Below are 20,699 nucleotides of genomic sequence, written 5' to 3' on the forward strand. Positions count from 1 at the left end.
ATTCGCCAAAACTTCTGGGTGGGTCATGTTGCTGGTTTACGTTCCCTGGCGCCTTGACTCCTGAGATGCGATAATTTGAGGACCACAGAGAAGAGGGGGCGCCCTTTATCACAGCCGCCTTGTGCTTGCAAGGTGAACCACCAAGAGTGTGCTGGGGTCCCACTGCCTGCACAGTCTCTGTGGCTTCATCTGTTTTTTTCTTCATGATTGATATTTCTGTGTTGAATGCTTTTCACCGACTGTTCTTTTCAAATCCTTGCAGCTTTTAAGGTTAGTATTGGAATCAGAGAAGAATTGACACATAAATAAGTCTTGTTTGGGAAAAGAAGGTGTAAAGTCCGTGTACTTCAACTCTGCCAGAAAAGAATGTTACTTACCCTCTAAGAATAGGTAATATCTCATTTATACTAGGTGTTCAAATTCCCAAGTGATTATTGAATCTTAGGATTGAGTGTCTCCTTGAGGACATTAGGATCACTGGAATGCTGCTCCTTCGACATGGGCACTGGATCCCACAGAGTGATGCCATAACTGTATGAGGGCTGCTGAACTAGACCAGCAAGAACTGGGTCAAGGCTGTTCCCTAGTCATGCATGTATTTGAGAGTTCCATCTTCTACTGTGGAAATTGAATTGTCATTTATTTGCATTCATTTTCTATTGCTCTGTAACAAATCACCACAAACTCAGGGCTTAAAACAACACCATTTATTAGCTCACAGTTCTGTAGGTCATAAGTCCAGGATCACACGGCTGACTTTTCCCTTCAGGGTCTCACAAGGCCAAAATCAAGGCTCTGGCAGGACAACATTCTTATCTGCATACACTGGGGAAGAATTCATATCAAAGGTCATTCAGGGCTGGGCACAGTGGCTCACGCCTGTAATTCCAGCACTTTGGCAGGCTGAGGTGGGCAGATGGCTTGAGTACAGGAGTTTGAGACCAGCCTAAGCAACATAGCCAAACCCCATCTCAACAAAAAAAATACAGAAATTAGCTAGGCATGGTGGCGCATGCCTGTCATCCCGGTTACTCAGGAGGCTGAGGCGGGAGGATCGCTTGAGCCCAGGGAGGTCGAGGATGCAGTGAGCTGTGATTGCACCACTGCACTCCAGCCTGGGCGACAGAGGGAGACCCTGTCTCAAAAAAAAAGAAAAAGAAAAAAAAAGTCATTCAGGTCCTTAGCTGAATTTAGTTATTTGCAGTTGTAGGACTGAGGTGCCCATTCCTTGCTGACCATCAGCGGGGGTCCCTCTCAACTCCTTAAGCTTCCCCCTGGCCCCGACCCCTGCATTCCTTCTCACGGTGCCCCCTCCACCTTCGAGCCAGGAAAGGAGTGTCAGATCTCCCTGTGATTTGAATCTCTCTGATTTTCTCTCCTGCCACCTGCTGGAGAAGGCGCTCTGCTTCCAGGAGGTGATGTGATGCTAATTAGACTGAGAGAGCACCGCCCCCCACCCCCGCCCCGCCCGATGATCCCCTTTCTTAAGGTCTGCTGTGGTACACGACGACATACTTGACGACATACTCAAGGGTGTGGCACCTTGTCATATTCACAGGTTTTAGGCATTGGAGGGGGGCTAGAGTGAGAGGGATGTCATTTTAGAAATTCTCCCCACAGTAGAAAGACTCTCTCTAATGGGCCAGCCATGGTGGCTCAGACCTGTAATCCCAGCACTTTGGGAGGCCGAGGTGGGAGGATCACTTCACCTTAGGAGTTCAAGACCCCCATCGCTATAAAAAAAAATCAAAAAAATTAGCCAGGCGTGGTGGTCCGATTCCATTCTTTAAAGGAGTCGGGGAGGTGATGAGTGACTGGATTGGAAAGAATATGCAAAGTACTGGAGGTTACAGGCCCAAGAGTGATTTTGAACCTGACAGCTTGCATCTTTCCTTCATTCAACAGATATTTCCTGAATCCTACTGTGGGCCAGGCACACACTAGGTGCTGAGTCTCCAGAGGTTCACAAAACAAGACATGATCTCTGCCCTCATGAATGTGTAGTGACACATAGCAGTGCCATAAAGGGAACAATTAGGATGTTATGAGAGAATGAAAGGAAATTTACTGTAGCCTGGGAGATGAGGGACATTTGGACTGAGATTTGGCCTAGGAATTTGGCCACCTGGGTGGAAAGTCCAGGAAGAGAATGCCGGGCAAGTAGATCAGCAAAGGGTCTGACTCTCCCTTGGTAGGGGTCTAGAGAGGTATTTTGAGGGATGTCCATTGAACATATTCTTTTTGGAGCCTGCCTCCGTCCTGCTGAATTCCTGCCTTGTGATTTGTCGTGTCAGAACACTTAGAAATAATGCTCTACCCAGCTCATGCCTCTAATCCCAACACTTTGGGAGGCCGAGGCTGGAGGATTGCTTGAGGCCAGGAGTTTGAGACCAGCCAGGACAACATAGCAAGACTCGATCTCTAGTTAAAAAAAAAAAAAGGAAAGAAAGAACACTCTAATATACTGTAGTCCCCCATTCATTCAAGGTCCTGTGTAGTCCTTTCTGGTCTGGAGCTATAGTAAAAGGAGGCAGTGAGTGGGCCAGATTCAAACAGGGAATGATGCCAGTAGCGAGAAAGTGAAGAGGCTTTTCTGGCGCACCTGTACAGGTTGTGCTCTGCATTCCTTGGGGGCCAGCCCCATGGAGATTCCTCCTGTGCACAGTGGAGGTTGATGGGGATGCTCATCTCCTAAGCGGCAACAGTGTCCTATGCACTCATAATTCAGGGTCAGGGGATCTCAGGTCATAGGACAAATCACAGGCTGCTGTCTCTGTTCAGGGTACCTCAAGCCATCAATGGCCACGTTGAGCAGGTGAACACTTCCCCTCTGAACTCTCTAGCTCTCTTTGAAGTTTGGGAGGGCATTTGAGCACTCTTCTCAGCTAAGCCCAACATACGGCCTGGAAGTAGATTGGACAAGTCACCATTTACTATACCTTCTCTCTCAAGGTGAGTTTTTTTAGTCTAATGAAATTGCCACCTTTGAGAAGGTTGCTCTGTACTCTAGGGTGCGCAAAAGGAAATTGTTTGTCTTCCGGAAGTCTTTCTGTAATTTAGAATGGACTTGGCAGCGATTTTATTTTTACCTTCCCTGTCATTTGTGAGGCTGGCAGTCCAGAGGTAGGGTGTGGAATGGAGCCGTAAATTGCGCTTGCAGTGACCAGAAGGGGCCCATTTTAACTCTAATTGTGCCTTTCCCGGTTCACTTCTCCTTTTACCCGCCCTCTCCTTTTTTTTTTTTTTTCTAATCCACATTTGAGTGGGGAGGAAGAATTGAGGGGGGTGCAGGTGGGAGTAGGTTTATTTATTGGCGCTTCTCTGGGTGGTGGACACTGTTTCTTTTCCCATTACGGCTTCCTTTTTTATTTTTTCATGCTTCTATTTTAAGTGCCTGTTTCTTTCTGGTTCTGTCTTGCTGGAAACTGGCCCAGCTCCACTGAATTTTTTTTTCCATGCAGCTATTAAAAGACAATGACCAGTTAAGAGTGTGCTCAGAGGAAGGACAGACTTGAGGTGGGGAGCCCTCTTGGTTCTAGTAATCCTAGGCAAATACCGCTTACCCGGATTGGAATGTGAGAGGAGTTTTATTAGGTAATTTTACTTTTTGTGCCTGTTTTATAGGAGGAAAATCAATAATCAGGTTGTTTTGTTTTGTTTGTTTGTTTTGAGACAGACTTTCGCTCTTGTTGCCCCGGCTGGAGTGCAATGGTGTGATCTCGGCACACTGCAACCTCAGCCTCCAGGGTTCAAGTGATTCTCTTGCCTCAGCCTCCTGAGTAGCTGGGATTACAGGCATTCGCCACCATGCCCGGCTAATTTTGTATTTTTAGTAGACACGGGATTTCTCCATGTTGGTCAGACAGGTCTGGAAGTCCCGACCTCAGGTGATCCACTCACCTCGGCCTCCCAAAGTGCTGGGATTACAGGCGTGAGCTACCGCGCCTGGCCCTTGTTTTGTTTTTTTGAGATGGAGTCTCGCTGTGTCACCTAGGCTGGAGCGCAGCAGCAGGATCTCTCTCAGCTCACTGCAGCCTCCATTCCCCAGGCTGGTCTCGAACTCCTGACCTCAGGCAATCCAACCACCTCGGCCTTCCAAAGTGCTGGGATTACAGGCATGAGCCACCATGCCTGGCCAGTAATCAGTTTTTATACCTTGAAACTTCTCTTTTGCTGAACTTGAATACCAGTGGGCCTGAATCTGGGGTCAATGAACCTCCCTTTCATATTCTGGGCCTCTTTTACCAAGATAGAAAAGTATGCTTGGAACCTGGTATCCAGCCAGCCATGAATTCTTTTTTTTTTTTTTTTTTTTTTTTTTGGAAACAGGGTCTCTTGCTCTATTGCCCAGGATAGAGTGTAGTGGTGTGAGTGTGATCACAGCTCACTGCGGCCTCGACCTCCCCAGCTCAAATGATTCTCCCACCTCAGCCTCCCGCATAGCTGGGATCACAGGCACTTGCCACTATACCTGGCTAATTTAAAATAATTTTTTATGGAGACGAGGTCTCCCTGTGCTGCCAGGCTGGGTTTGCACTCTTGGGCTCAAGCAGTCCTCCGCCCTTGGCCTCCTAAAGTGCTGGGATTACAGGTGTGAGCCGCCACCCCCGGCCTAGCCATGAATTCTCGGCATTTGGGAGAGATATGTCCCTAGTCTTTATAGAATCCTACATGTATTAATTTAGAAATGTTTGTAGGGTCTTGAATTTTGCCTGAATCACATTCCCATCCACATTCTTGCTGTTTTTTTGACCATACCCTCACGCCATACCTGCCTTCTACAACTTTTGCTCACTTTTACATTTTCTCCACAAATGGCTTTTTTAAATTATTAAGTTACTATAATTTACAAACAGTAAAATTTACCCTTACTAGTGTATAGTTCTGTAAGTTTTGACAAAAGCATACAGCCAGGTAGTCACTATCATAATCAAGATACAGAAAGGCTGGGCGTGATGGCTCATGCCTGTAATCCTTGCACTTTGAGAGGCCGAGGCGGGTGAAGTCCTGAGGTCAGGACTTCAAGACCAGCCTGGCCAACATGGTGAAACCCCGTCTTTACTAAAAACACAAAAATTAGCTGGGCGAGGTGGCAGGCGCCTGTAATCCCAGCTACAAGGGAGGCCGAGGCAGGAGAATTGCTTGAACCTGGTGGGGGCAGAGGTTGTAGTGAGCCGAGATTGCGCCACTTCACTCCAGCCTGGGTGAAAGAGTGAAACTCCGTCTCAAAAACAAACAAAGAAACAAACAAACAAAAGATACAGAAAGTTTCATCACCCCAGAAAGTTCCCCAGTGCCCCTTTGTAGCCAGCTCCTCCTTGTACCCGTCGCTGCTGGCAAGCATGGATCTGTATTCTTTCTCTAAGTTTGACCTCTTCTTGAATATCTTAAAAATGGAAATGTACACGTATAGCCTTTGGTGTCTTTTACTTAGCATAATGCGGTTGTGATTCACCTCTGTTGCTGCATGTACCAGCACTTTATTCCTTTTATGCATTGAGTTTATTCCACTATGTGTATGTACCACAGTTGGTCTACTCATTCACCAATTGAAGGACTTGGAGTTGCTTACAGTATTTGGCGCTTACAAGCAAAGCCTCTATGAGCTTTTGCATACAGGCTTTTATGCAAACATGTTTTCATTTCTCATGGGTAAATACCTAGGAGAGGCCAGGTGTGGTGGCTCATGCCTGTAATCCCAGCACTTTGTTTGGGAGGCCAAGGAGGGTAGATTGCTTGATCTCAGGAGTTCGATATCAGCCTGGGCAACATGGTAAAACCCCTTCTCTACCAAAAATGCAAAAATGAGCTGGACATGGTGGTGCGCACCTGTGATCCCAGCTACTTGGGAGGTTGGGGTGGGAGGATTGCAGGAGCCCAGGAGGCTGCAGTGAGCCATGATCACGCCATTGCACTCCAGCCTGGGTGACAGAGTGAGACCCTGTCTGAAAATATTAATTTTTAAAAATACCTAGGAGTAGGGTTGTCAGTTTGCATGCCAAGCATATATTTAACTTTATAAGAAACTGCCAAACAGTTTACAAAGTGGCTGTGTTCCCGCCATCAATGTATGAGAGTTCCAATTACTTTGCATCCTAATCCAGACTTATTACTGTAAGTTGTATAAAAACTCTGTCCATTCTTTTTGTTGTGGGAGACAGAGTCTCGCTCTGTCACCCAGGCTGGAGTGCAGTGGCACAATTTTGGCTCACTGCCACCTTGGCCTCTCGGGGTTCAAGCGATCTCCTGCCTCAGCCTCCTGAGTAGCTGAGATTACAGGCGCCAGCCACTATGCCTGACGAATTTTTGCATTTTTTTTTTTTTTTGAGACAGAGTCTGGCTCTGTCACCCAGGCTGGAGTGCAATGGCTCGATTTTTAATAGAGAAGGGGTTTCACCATGTTGGCCAGGCTGGTCTCAAACTCCTGACTTGAAGCAATCCGCCTGCCTCGGCCTCCCAAAGTGTTGGGGTTACAGGCGTGAGCCACCACGTCCAGCCTAAAAAACTTTGTCAATCCTGATAGATATGTAATGATATCTCATTGTAGTTTTAATTTGCACTTCCCGAAGAACTTATGATGTTGAGCATCTTTTTTTGTGCTTATTTTCCCTCTGTAGATCTTCTTTGGTGATGTGTCTGTTCAAATCTTTTTTTTAGTCGGGGTTTGGCTCTGTCGTGTAGGCTGGAGTGCAGTGGCGTGATCTCGGCTCACTGTAACCTCCACCTCCCAAGCTCAAGCCATCCTCCTGCCTCAGCCTTCCAAGTAGCTGGGACTACAGGCGCTTGCCACCATAACTAGCAAATTTTTGTTATTTTTGTAGAGACAGGGTTTTGCCATGTTGCCCAGGCTGGTCTCGAACTCCCGACCTCAGGTGATCCGCCTGCCTCAGCCTCCCAAAGTGCTGGGATTACAGGCATGAGCCACCACACCCAGCCTCAAATCTTTTGATTATTTAAAAAATATTGGGGTTGTTTTCTGATTGCTGAATTTTAAGAGTTCTCTATCAATTCTAGATAAAATTCCTTTATCAGACATATATTGTCAACCATAAAAGTCACAAACTCTATAAATTTAGAAAAGAGAGCTTCATTTCTAAAGGGGGGGTACCATAACCTGCAGGCAGGAAGTGGAGCCTCTACCTGAAACCAAAAAGCAGGCATTTCAAGGGAGGGAAAGATGAGACAGTAATTTACGCTAAACTGGTTGGCTAAGTTTACATATTTATCAGGTTATAGGAGAAGCTATAAATATTTATGAAGGGGACACACATGCATGTGTCATAAACTAACACGTTTGTTACATGTGTCCCTTGTTGCCCTTTGAGATGGACACTTAATATTTAAATGTATTACTGTTAGACCCTGTCCATCAGAAGGTGAAGCAGAGGACAGAAAGATACTGAGTGCACAGCCTCCGTGGCCTGGCCAGAACCACACCATAGTCAGTGGCCTCTTATCAGAAAGGAATGCCGGTCAGTTGCTGTGTGGAAACCACAAAAGGGAAGGCAGCGTGAGGCCATTGGTTGAAATCAGCAGTGAACAAGTCTTTTGAGAGGGTTGATTTTTGTTCGACACTGAGGAAAGAAAGACTTATGGTGGCTAGGGAAGGAGGGGGTGTAACGAGGTGTCTCTGACCTCGCATCTCATCATGGCTGGGAATTAAGGTTTTTAAGGTTTCTCTGGCGTCTTCTTGGCCAAGAGGGGGTCCATTCAGTTGGTTGAGGAGCTTAGGATTTTATTATTATTTCTCAGTATTGTGGACTGTCCTGTCATTTTTTTGGACAGTGTCTTTAGAAGAGCAGGAGTTTAAAATTTTTGATGAAGCCACAAAATGCTTTTTAAAAAAAGGTTTCACATTTTATTTATTTATTTATTTATTTATTTATTTATTTATTTATTTATTTATGGAGACGGAGTCTTCCTACATTGCCTGGGCCAGTCTCAATTGATCCTCCTGCCTCAGCCTCCCAAAGTGCTGGGATTACAGGCATGAGCCACTGCACCTAGCCTCATTTTATTAGATATTTTTGCTTTCTACAAATTTCTTCCCTATTTCCCCCTCTCCCTAGCTCCTTGCAACCATCATCCCGCTTTCTCACTCAATTAGTTTGGCTACTCCAGGTAACATTTAAATGGAACCACACAGGATTTGTCTTTTTGCCACGGGCTTCTTTCACTTAGCAGAATGTCCTCGAGGTTCATCCATGTGGTAGCCTGTGTCAAAATTTCCTTCCTTTTTAAGGTTGAGTAATACTCATATGTATGCATATACCATACTTTATCCATTTGTCGAGGATGGGTTGCTTCTACCTCTTGGCTATTGTGAATAATGCTGTTGTCTACCTGCGTGTGCAAATATCTCTCCTGAGGTCTTGCTTTCAGTTCCGTATTTATTTATTTATTTATTTATTTATTTATTTATTTATTTATTTATTTATTTTTGAGACGGAGTCTCGCTCTGTCGCCCAGGCTGGAATGCAGTGGTGCGATCTTGGCTCACTGAAACCTCCGCCTCCTGGATTCGAGTGATTCTTCTGCCTCAGGCTCCTGAGTAGCTGGGACTACAGACATGCGCCACCAGGCCTGGCTAATTTTTGTTTTTAGTAGAGTTGGGGTTTTGCCATGTTGGCCAGGCTGGTCTCGAACTCCTGACCTCAGGTGATCCACCTGCCTCAGCCTCCTGAAGTGCTGGGATTATAGGCATGAGCCACTACACCTGGCCAAGGCTTTTTTTTTTTTTTTTTAAACCAAACAAACAAAATCCTGTTTTGTTTAATTACTCCACATGATCTGTTGCAAAGGTGACAATGGTCAGCGAGGCTGCACTGAGGTAACACTGTCACGTGGTCAGCCAGGCTCACTCACCAGCAGGTGGCTTCCCCAAAGCAGCATTGTGTGCTATGATAGAAATTTGTGTCTCAGCAGAATTACAAATCACAGCATTTCCACTAAGGTGGAAGCTCCTTGAGGTCAGGGACTCTGTTTTATCTCTAGAATGGGGCCTAACACTCAGAAAAGGATGATTGAGTACATTTCAGCGGCCCTCATGAAGGGCGAGGCCAGGTGTCCCATGACACCCAAGGCTCTGGCTGTCAGGGTGTAGCTGAGGATGGAGGCCAGGGCTTTGACCATCAAAGCTTAAATGCCAAGTGTCAGTGAGCAGCTCTGTCCTGGGGACCTCATCTGTGTCAGAACCACTTTGGGGAGCGTGGGTCCTGGTCGTGGCTGGCCTGCCTTCAGGAGGCCTCAGTTCTTGAGAGAGGACCTTGAGTGAGGACACACCGCATCCTGAGAAGGGCGAGCTACAAAGAGAGCTGAATTTCTGTAATGAGTTGACTTAAAACCATTTGTGGAGTTTGGCCTGACTGGCACTGCCATTCTAACTGCTTTCTGCCTGCCCTGGGGGCTGTATAACTCGTCCCCTCCCCCTAAATGGTGAGGGGGCTTGGGCCAAGGTTGAAGTCATGGGCAGAGCCGAGCCTGGCTGTCTCAGCCATCACCCTGCATTTGTCTGGGTGCTATTTTGGCCCACGATGTGTGGTTTCAGCATCTGGGCCAGCTTTTCATTACAATATGATCCCATCTTTTATGGGTTGAGTGAGTTCTCCAAGAGAGGAAACTGCCAAAGAGAGGAGTTGCCTCAGATGTTGAGGCCTTTTCTTCCTTTAAGCATCTTATTTTAAAGGTAACACAAGAGCCAAAAACTGGAAACTCCAGATTTAGGGCAAGGGGAGAATCTGGGGAGAGGGGATGTGGTGTTTGTGTGTGTGTTGGGGGGTGGTGGCTGGCCACGGGCAGGGAGGTGGCAGTTCATGCAAAGTGATCCCAGCTGCCCCTAGCTTAGGGCTGATCCCGCCCTGCCCAGCCCATCATTCAGGGTAAGCCGCTATCATTAGTGGTTAAGTGTTTCTGAAAGTATTCTCTCTCCATGCTGACCACATGCCCTTTCTGGGAAGGGAGGGCAGGGCCAGGGAGTAATGGGACCCACCCTATTGTCATGCCCAGCTGCTCTGCAGAGGGACAGGGAACCCGGGGCTGGAGTTGATCATGGACATGTCTGTCTGAGGGGTTGACAGTGCACGTTTTGCAGGTCCTGCAGCTCCCTGAGGGGTCCAGCTTGCTCCTGGGGGCTGCAAGTTCCAAATCAGAGAGGCTTTTTGTCCTAGTAAAGGGATCCTTGGCTGAAACAAACCTTCTATTAACCAATTTTCTCCCTCAAGCTCTCTGCCCTCAACACATACACATGTGCACACACACACACACACACACACACACACACAGACATACACACACAGATATACACACATACACACACACCAGCTTGCTGAGGGCTGCCTGCCTTTCCCTTTGGAACTCATTTGTGCTCATTCCACTTTTGAGGAGGAGCTGTGGTGAAATGCTTAAGGTGAACATTTCTTCCCATGAAGTGGGAACTTTGAAATATTCATCTTTGACTGAGGTGTGGTTGACAGCTTTTTGTTGTTGTTGTTGAGACAGAGTCTCTCTCTGTGTTGTCCAGGCTGGAGTGCAGTGGTACAATCTCGGCTCACTGCGACCTCCACCTCCCGGGTTCTAAGTGATTCTCCTGCCTCAGCCTCTGAAGTAGCTGGGATTATAAGCGCTCACCACCATGCCTGGCTAATTTTGTATTTTTAGTAGAGATGGGGTTTCGCCATGTTGGCCAGGCTGGTCTCGAACTCCTGACCTCAGGTGATCCACCTGCCTCAGCCTCCCAAAGTGCTGGGATTACAGGCATGAGCCACTGTGTGCGGCCAACAGCTTTTGATTTATGAAATTAGCTCAGGGAAAAAGTTAAGGTGGAAAAAGAGAGTCCACATTGAGTATTTCCACAGTTCAGTCGTACTCTGTCTCCATTGCCATGCAGTGTTTAGGTATGAGGGACTCCAGAGTTTGCTACGTTTCTCCCTTTTTCTCCTTTTTTTTTTTTGTTGGGGATTGGGGGCAAGAAAAACTTAATTTTTTTTTTTTGTTAAACAAGGTCTCACTCTTTTGCCACGCTCTCAGGCTGAAGTGATCCTCCTGCCTTGGCCTCCCAAGTACCTGGGACCACAGGGGCACGCCACCACACCTGGCTAATTTTTTAAATTTTTTGCTAGAGATGAGGTCTCCCTGTGTTGCCCAGGCTGGTCTCAAACTCTTGAGCTCAAGTGCCGTCCCATCTCAGCCTCCCAAAGCGTTGGGATTACAGGTGTGAGCCACTGCACCCAGCCAAAAAGTCATGTTTTTTTCCTTACTCACAAGTATACAAGCTCAATGAAGGAAGCTGGAAAAATCTAGAAGAGCACAAAAGGGCTTCTTTATTCCCAATATCCAAAGATAATGACGGTTAAGATTTTGGTTTATGTTCATCTTGTCAAATTCTGTTTCTTACTTTAGAGAAGGTAGCTGGTCTGGGTGGTTCATATCCCTCAAGGAGCTTCCTGTTGACTGCCTCAACACACTGGACCAAAGACTCCCAGCAGGGTCGTTCTGCTGGAGGTGGATCCTCCCAATGGGGAACTTTCTATTATAGCTCTTAATTTCACCATTGTCCAAATGACCAACAAAAAAATAGCCCAAGAGGAATTTAGCTTGAGTTCAGGCTTCCTGTCCCATCTTCTGACCTAAGAGCCTAGGCTCTTGACATTAAACTGCCTGTACATGAATCTTTGCATCATTTGGCTTACTTTCTGTAGAGCTTCTCTGTGTCTGTTTGCTTATCTGTAAAGCGGGGATAATAATATTAATCTACCTTTAGGGTTCCCATGTTAAATGAGAACATATATGTAAATGCATAGCACACACAGTGCCTGGAACATAATGTTAGAGTTCAGTGAATATTATATACTTCTGTAGCCATTATTATTACCTTTATTTATTTATCCTTTTTTTTTTTTTTTTTGGAGACACTCTCACTCACTCTGTCACCCAGGCTGGAATACAGTGACGTGATCTTGGCTCCCTGAAACCTCTACCTTCTGGGCTCAAATGATCCTCCTACTTCAGCCTCTTGAGTAGCTGGGACTACAGGCATGCACCGGTAGTGCAGCTAGTTTTGTTTATTTTTTGTAGAGGCAGGGTCTCATTATGTTGCCCAGGCTGGTCTCAAACTCCTGGGCTCAAGTGATCCTCCCGCCTTGGCCTCCCAAAGTGTTAGGATAACAGGCGTGAGCCACTGTGCCCAGCCACCTTTATTGTTGAGAGTAGTTTTATCGCCCCATGTTGCATGGTACAAATTGTCTCTGGGTCTCTGTTTCTCTGTCTGGAGAGGGGTGATCTTTTCTTCACTGGATGGTATTTGAAACATCTCACAGTTGCAAAGTAGTAGATGCTTACTAAGTAGTAGAAGAGCCTCGTTTGGTGAAACAGATGAACCGAAGGACAGGGAGGCTTAGACATTTTCACTGAGTGGGCAAAGTCAAGCTGCAAAAAGAACTTGAGAGCACATGCTGCCTGTTGCCTTGTGTTCTCTGAAGATGTCTGATAGGTTTTCTGCTGCTAAATTCCACACTTTTCTTTGTGATTTCTGCATTGCTTCTCATTTACTTGGATGGATTGTTGAGTCATCTTTTCTAGATAAAACATGTCTAGGCCAGGCATAGTGGCTCATACTTGTAATCCCAGCACTTTGGGAGGCTGAGGTGGGAGGATCGTTTGAGCTCAGGAGTTTGAGACCAGCCTTGGCAACATAGCAAGACCCCATCTCCCCAAAAATAAAAAAATGAGCCAGGCGTGGTGCTGTGTGCCTATAGTCCAGCTACTGGGGAGGCTGAGGTGGAAGGATCACTTGAGCCCAAGAGTTTGAGGCTGCAATGAGCTATGATCGTGCCACTCCAGCCTGGGCAGCAGAGTGTGACCCTGTCTCTAAACAAACAAGTGAATGACAACAACAAAAAGTGTCAACATATGCATTGACTAAAAGTTGTTTAATGCCCCTTGACTTTTATTGCCAAGGGAATCATCTTTCTAGCTATAGAGAAAATTGCTTTGGATAAGTTTTGAGCTCTTCTTGCCTAATGGGGGAAATATTTCATCTGAGCCTGTCCAGTGATTCTTGTTTATTTGTAACATTTGAGCCCAATAAAAATAATGTGATGGTCACAGGATATTTTGCCAATTATTTCAGATGTAGGGGCAATTCACTCTGGATTTGTTTACTTGAAGTGGAAAAGTTTACACAAAGTTACCTTCTGAGCTTTTACCAAAAAGGAAACTTCCCTGGGTCTCTCTGCTTGGAACCAGCTTCTGTTTAGTCCAAAACTAGAGGGGCTATTAAAGGTCTTGTTTCCAATAAATGGCAGGAGAAGGGAATATGATGACTTAGGTAGGAAACACTTCTGTCCTTTTCACAGTGACTTATGTCTGTCTGCTTTCTACTTTGAACCCCCAGGACGCACAGACATTCGGGTGCTTCAGCCAGAACAACCCCAGCAACCGGCGAGCAAAGCCCCGGTGCTCGGAGCCGGCACCGCCAGCCCGTCAAGAACTCAGGCCACAGTGGCTTGGCCAATGGCACAGGTGAGTGATGGCACCGCACGCCAGCCTGCACTGAAGCTGTGGGCTCTCACCCGTTCTAACGTGGACACGGGATCCTGCCCACTGTGTCAGAATAGAGGGTGGGCGTCAGAAGGCTCTAGGACTAAACTGGATTTGAATCCATCAGTCTTTCTACTGACCCATCTTCTTCTCTCTCTGGCATATTCTGTACAGCCAAGGTTATTCTCCATATGACTGCGCTCTTCTAAAATACTCATTTGCACAGAAATAAAAAGTCTTGTCTTTCTATAAAGACAATAAAAAGAAATGTCTTTTTTTTTTTTTGAGACGGAGTCTCACCCTGTCGCCCAGGCTGGAGTGCAGTGGCGTGATCTCGGCTCACTGCAAGCTCCGCCTCCCGGGTTCATGCCATTCTTCTGCCTCAGCCTCCTGAGTAGCTGGGACTACAGGCGCCCACTGCCACGCCCGGCTAATTTTTTGTGTTTTTAGTGGAGACAGGGTTTCACCGTGTTAGCCAGGATGGTCTTGATCTCCTGACCTTGTGATCGCCCGTCTTGGCCTCCCAAAGTTCTGGGATTACAGACGTGAGCCACTGCGCCTAGCCTTTCTATTCATTTCTTATCTGCATTGGATTTCATGTTGGGGAGGATATCTCATTTATACATAGCATATTTTTTATTTCCTTCACGTAAGGGAATTATCAGACTAAGGAAATGTAGGACTAAGTATTGTTGCTAAGAGCTGAGTCAGATGATGGCACCACTGGTGAATGGGTTGAGATGCTGACTGGGGCAGAGCCAGGTAACTACTTGGGGGTGTGCAGGGGCCATCCCGATGGGGGCCCCATTTGAGAGGAGACAGTGCCGTCCACGTGCGCATGGAACTTCCCCACACTTGGCTCTGCTTCCCCGTAAGTGAGACGGGAAGGACCTATTTCAAAACAACTCATTTTCCGTCCTGCTCTCCCTCTCTCTCATCAGGACAGAGTCAAAAAGGAAAAAGAAAAAACAAACCCATTCATTTCTATAAACTTCTCAAAGATTGTCAAATCTTTAGAGACTGCTGGTCGTTTGGTAGTTTGTCTTCATTTCGGGCAGTTGGGCTGGGATGTAGATGTTTCGCTTGGATGAATTGTAGGTAGAGGAATGCAGGTGTTGAAATTTGGTAAGTGACGCTGAGATAGTTTTCTAGTGCTCGTGACAGCAGAGGTGTGGCGTAAAGGCCAGGAGACCCAGAGCAGCATGGCTTTTCACGGAAGTGTTGTTGTGGCATTGTTAAGTGACCTCTGTGACAAACTTACTGAGTGGAAGAAATTGATTTGGGTTCCTTTGCAATACCCTTCAGTTCTGTGGCAGCACCATATGGGGGCTTCAGAGTCCCCGTGGCTGCTGCTGTTGCCTGGGTACCCTGTCATCTTCTGTGGACCACAAGATGGAGTGGTCTGTGTCCTACAAAGCGCACTGTGAGTGCAGTGGCCTGACCTCCTCCCTGAAGTTTGGGAGCTGCCTGAAGGACTTGAGTGAACTGACTAGCCCACCCTGAGCCTTGGGGAAGAGGAGGAGCTGCAGGTGGGGAGTCCCAGGGCTGCCGTCTCAGCTGCCTGGCGCCCCTGTGCCACCCACTGTATCCTTGTGCTGGAACATCCGGTGGTAGCTGAGCCTGGCCTTCCTGTCTGTGTGAAGGAGACAGCAAAGTGATGGCCGTGAGCCATAGTATAGAGAACCATAGGCAGCTCTGCGAGCATTTTTCTCTTAGAAAACTCAGTGGCTTGTGGAGGAGGGCAGTGTTTACAAATGGGGATGGGGGACTGGCTTTTAGGAACCAGCTGATTCCCAGGTGCCATGGCAGAGCTACTAGCAGCTTTGTTCTGCCAGATGCCTGTGTTATTGAGATCATGGTTTCCCGCAGCTACCTCTGCTTTTCCTATAAAAACTATTGGTGAATTGATTTTCTTTGGTGATGGTCCTTGAGTCACTCTTGGACATTTCAATAGAGCTATATTTCCCCTACATTTATTTTTAGGTACCATTACTTGTTGTCCTTATCTCTAGGAACCTTATGTTCTAGCAGACAAGGCAGGTGCCAGCCGTGTCTTCAAAAGCCAGGCGTCTCTAACCTTGGACTGCCTTGGAAGTGTTTCATGGTGGTGTCTCTCAGTGCCCAAACCTGTTCCTAAGATCCATCTCTGAAGGGCAGTTGTATTTTAGGGATTTCTGCCCACTCCAGTGCTGAGGGCTTGATGTCCATCTCTCCCCTTTCTGCTGTGATGGTGGTTCACCTTTACCTCACAGGCAGCCTGTACTTTATATAACGTCTGCCCCAAGGGTACAGAACAGTGTCACCTTTGCCGTGGGGAGCAGGCAGAAGCTCCCCTCTTCAGCAGCGCAGGACCAGAGGGGGGTCGAGGGTGTGAATGAGGACATCTTCATCCCTCGGGCTGCTGCTGTGAGAATTCTGAGGACCAGTTCCAAGATGGTGGTGGTGGGGAGCTCTGCCTCCTGGAAGAGTTTCCACAGACTTGCGAGATTTATTTAGCAGCCTTTTTTGGCTGCGCACTGCAGTTATGCATGAAAAAGAAATTTGAGGCCAAACCGGAGCTGGGTTCCAGGTGGTTTTTTTATGTTGTCACAACCATAAAGTATCCATTTTTATAAAACAAGAGTGAATGGCAGCCCGTCTGTATAAATATTATATTTCTAAGTTTTAGAAGTGGTGGAATCAAGAAATAGACGAATGGCATAGCCCTTCATTGAGACTTGTATGGGATGATTTACTTGCTAATTCTTTATTGAAGACTTTACCCCCAAATTTTACATATTTTACTTCTTCCCTAAATGTAATTTCCATACACATCAGTCAGAAGTTGCATCAGCCGTGGTCAGATTCCGATTCTTCATCTTTAATGCGTTTAAGGCCCAGTGACTCGCTAGGTCTTAGTTTTCTCATTTATAAAATTAGGGCAAAAGTTGGGCGTGGTGACATGCATCTGTAGTCCCTGCTACTCAGGAGGCTGAGCCAGGAGGATCGTTTGAGCCTAGGAGGCAGATGTTGCAGTGAGCTGAGATGGCACCACTACACTCCAGCCTGGGCAACAGAGTGAGACCTTGTGTCAAAAAAAAAAAAATTACAGCAAAAGTATATATCTCATAAGTTGTCATAAGGCATAAATTACAGACACACCTTCAAGATATTATGGGTTTGTTTCCAGACTATCACAATAAAGTGAATATCACAAAAAAGCAAGTCACATGAATTTTTTGGTTTCCCAGTGCATATAAAAGTTATGTTTACACTATACTATGGTCCATAAAAGGTACAACAGCATTATGTCTAAAAAATGTATACACTTTAATTAAAAAATACTTTATTGCTAAAAATGCTAACAATTATCTGAGCCTTTAGCCAGTGGAAATCTCTTCACTGGTGGAAGGTCTCTCCTCGATGTTGATGGCTGCTGACTGATCAGGATGGTAGTTGTTGAAGGTCAGGGTGGCTGTGGCAATTTCTAATAAGACAACATGAAGTTCACAGCATCAGTTGACTCTCCCTTTCATCAAAGATTTCTCTGTAGCATGCGACGCTGTTTGACAGCATTTTAGCAACAGTAGAAAATCTTTCAAATTTGCAGTCAATTCTCTCAAACTTTGCTGCAGCTTTATCAACTAAGTATATGGAATATTCTAAATCCTTGTTGTCATTTCAACAGTGTTCACAGCATTTTCACTAGAAGTTGATTCCATCTCAAGAAACTGCTTTCTTTGCTCATCCATAAGACACAACTCCTAATCTATTCCAGTCTTCTTATGAGATTGAAGCAGTTTAGTCACATATTCAGGCCTACTTCTTATTCTAGCTCTCTTGCTATTTCCACCACACCTGCATTTCCTTCCTCCACTGAAATCTTGAACCCCTCAGAGCCATCTATCAGGGTTTGAGCTTCTTCCAAACTCCTGTTGTGTTGATATGTTGACCTCCTCCCATGAATCACAAATGTTCTTAATGGCATCTAGAATGGTGAGTCCTTTTTAGTTTTTATTTATTTTTTATTTTTTTATTTTTTTGAGATGGAGTTTTGCTCTTGTTGCCCAGGCTGGCATGCAGTGGCATGATCTCAGCTCACTGCTGCAACCTCCGCCTCCTGGGTTAAAGCAGTTCTCATACCTCAGTCCCAGGAGTAGCTGGGATTATAGGCATGCACCACCACACCCAGCTAATTTTTGTATTTTCAGTAGAGATGGGGTTTCATCATGTGGGCCAGTCTGGTCTTGAACTCCTGACCTCAGGTGATCTGCCTGCCTTGGCCTCCCAAAGTGCTGGGATTGTAGGCTTAAGCCTTTAGGAGGTTTTTAATGGGTTTTGGCCACATCCATCAGAGGAATCATGATCTAAGGCAGTTATAGCCTTATAAAATGTATTTGGTTTTTTTGGGGCATGTTTTTTGGGGTTTTTTTTTTTTTTCGTTTTTTGTTTTTGAGATGCAGTCTCACTCTGTTGCCTAGGCTGGAATGCCGTGGCATGATCTTGGCTCACTATAACCTACACCTCCCGGGTTCAAGTGATTCTTGTGCCTCAGCCTCCAAAGTAGCTGGGATTACAGGCATCTGCTACCACATCCGGCTAATTTTTGTATTTTAGTAGAGACAGGGTGTCATCATGTTGGGCAGGCTGGTCTCAAACTCCTGACCTCAAGTGATTCACTTACCTTGGCCTCCCAAAGTGCTGAGATTATAGGCGTGAGCCACTGTGCCCAGCCATAAAATGTATTTCTTAAATAGTAAGACTTGAAAGGCAAGATGACTCCTTGATCCATGGGCTACAGCATGGATGTTGTGTTAGCGGGCATGAAAACAACATTAATCTCCTTGTAAATCTCCATCAGAGCTCTTGGGTAACCAGGTGCATTATCCATGAGCAGTAATATGTTGAAAGGAATCTTTTTTCCTGAACAGTAGGTCTCAACAGTGGGCTTAAAATATTCAGTAAACCATGCTGCAGACAGATGTGCTGTGATCCAGGCTTTGTTGCTCCATTTATAAAACACAAGCAGAGTAGATTTAGCATAATTGATAAGGGCCCTAGGATTTTCAGAATGTTAAGTGAACATTGGCTTCAACTTAAAATCACCAGCAACATTAGCTGCTAAGAAGAGAGACAACCTGTCCTTTGAAGCTTTGAAGGCATGAACTTCTCTTTATCTATGAATGTCCAAGATAGCATCTTCTTGCAATAGAAGGCTCTTTCGTCAACATTGAAAAGCTGTTGTTTCGTGTGGCCAACCCCGTCAATGATCTTAGCTAGATCTTCTGGATAGCTTGCTGCAGCTTCTTCCTCAGCATTTTCTTCACTTGGACTTTTACGCTGTGTTTGAGGGATCTTTCCTTAAACCTCATGAACCAATCTTTGCTATCTTCCAACTTTTCTTCTGCAACTTCCTCACCACTCTCAGCCTTCATAGAATTGAAGAGGGTTCGGGTCTTGCTCCAGATTAGGCTTTGGCTTAAGAGAATGTCGAGGCTGGTTTGATCTTCTTTTCAGACTACTCCCTATCGCTTTCTCCCTATCACTTTTCTTGGTAAGGCTGTTTTACTTTCTTATCACTCAAGTGTTCATCAGAGTAGCACTTTTAATTTCCTTCAAGAACTTCTCCTTTGCATTCGCAACTTGGCTAACTGTCACAAGAGTCCCAGCTTTGGCCTGTCTTGGCTTTCAACCCACCTTCCTTATCACTAAACTTAATAATATCTAGTATTTGATTTAAAGTGAGAGACATATGACTCTTCCTTTTGCTTGAACACTTAGAGGCCAATGTAGGGTATAAGGAGAGAGAGAGAGAGAGAACAGCCAGGTGGTGGAGCCGTCAGAACACACACAATATTTATTATTAAATTTGCTTTTTATTTATTTATTTATTTATTGAGATGGAGTCTCATGCTGTTGCCCACGCTGGAGTGCAATGGCATGATCTTGGCTCACTGCAACCTCCGCCTCCCAGGTTCAAGCGATTCTCCTGCCTCAGCCCCCCCAGTAGCTGGGATTATAGGCGCGTGCCACCGTGCCCAGCTAATTTTTGTATTTTTAGTAGAGCTGGGGTTTTACCATGTTGGCCAGGCTGATCTCAAACTCCTGACCTCAGGTGATCCACCCGCCTCAGCCTCCCAAAGTGTTGGGATTACAGGTGTGAGCCACCGTGCCCAGCCCAAATTTGCTATTTTATATGGATGGGGTTTGTGGCACTGCAAAACAATGGCAATATTAATATATCAAAGATCACTGGTCACAGATCTCCATGACGGATATAAATAACAATAACGAAAAATTTTAAGTTGGAAAAGTTTGACATATTCTGAGAATTACCAAAATGTGACACAGAGACATGAAGTGAGTTCATGCTGTTGGAAAAATGATTGAGAAATAGACCTGCTGGATGTCAGGTTGCCACAAGCCTTCAGTTTGTAAAAAATCACATAGTGCAACTCAACAAAACAAGGTATGCCTGTATATAAAACATGCAGAGTGTTTGGCAGGGTGCCTGGCACAGAGCTTTTATCTTTATGAATAATTTCATGGAGTTTTAATTATGCAGCATGAATATATACATTTTTCACTTCATTTTTCTTTTTTAAAATTTTCTTATAGAATGGGGGTCTCATTTTGTTGCCCAGGCCGGTCTCCAACTCCTGGCTTGGATCGATCCTCTTGTCTCGGCCTTCCAAAGTGTTGGGATTGCAGACGTGAGCCACTGCACCCAGCCTGTTTTTATACATGGTTTCATGTATCTATGTGCTCTTCTTTGCTTTTTAAAAGTGACCTCATACTATTTTGCAGTTAATGTTCCATAATTCATCTAACCATTCCTTAATTCTTGTGTATTTCCCTGTTACAAAATTCTGCTGTAAATACCTGTATATAGCTTTGTTTCTTGAGTGAAATTCTTAAGACAAAGGATGTGAATTTTAAAAATGAGCTCTAGTGTGTATTAGCAGACCGTCTTTCTAAGAGGATCAATCATATATCCAAAGTAGTATAAAATATTCATAAAGTGGTATATGAGGTTTATTTTTTCTGCAGCCTTGTAAATATCGGTTTATAATTTTTTGCTAATAGTATTAAGTGCCACCTCATTGGTTAAAAAGTTTAACCTCGTTGCGTTTTCTCATTTACTAGTTGCTTAACTATTTCTTTTTTCTTGTGTCTCTTTTCAT

At 45.4% G+C, this 20,699-nt stretch overlaps 1 protein-coding gene across 15 annotated transcripts in view; it reads left to right on the plus strand.

Annotated features, from left to right (window-relative positions):
- Positions 1 to 20,699, plus strand: part of WWP2 (WW domain containing E3 ubiquitin protein ligase 2) — a 179,408-nt gene that overhangs the window by 96,082 nt on the left and 62,627 nt on the right. For all 15 annotated transcript variants that reach the window (XM_017022879.2, XM_017022881.2, XM_011522823.3 and 12 more), the window contains one exon: positions 13,391 to 13,518. In XM_017022879.2, the coding sequence (XP_016878368.1) occupies positions 13,391 to 13,518 (128 nt within the window). The remainder of the gene's footprint in view (positions 1 to 13,390; positions 13,519 to 20,699) is intronic.

This window comes from Homo sapiens, chromosome 16, assembly GCF_000001405.40.
Source record: "Homo sapiens chromosome 16, GRCh38.p14 Primary Assembly".
Taxonomy (NCBI): Eukaryota; Metazoa; Chordata; class Mammalia; order Primates; family Hominidae; genus Homo; species Homo sapiens.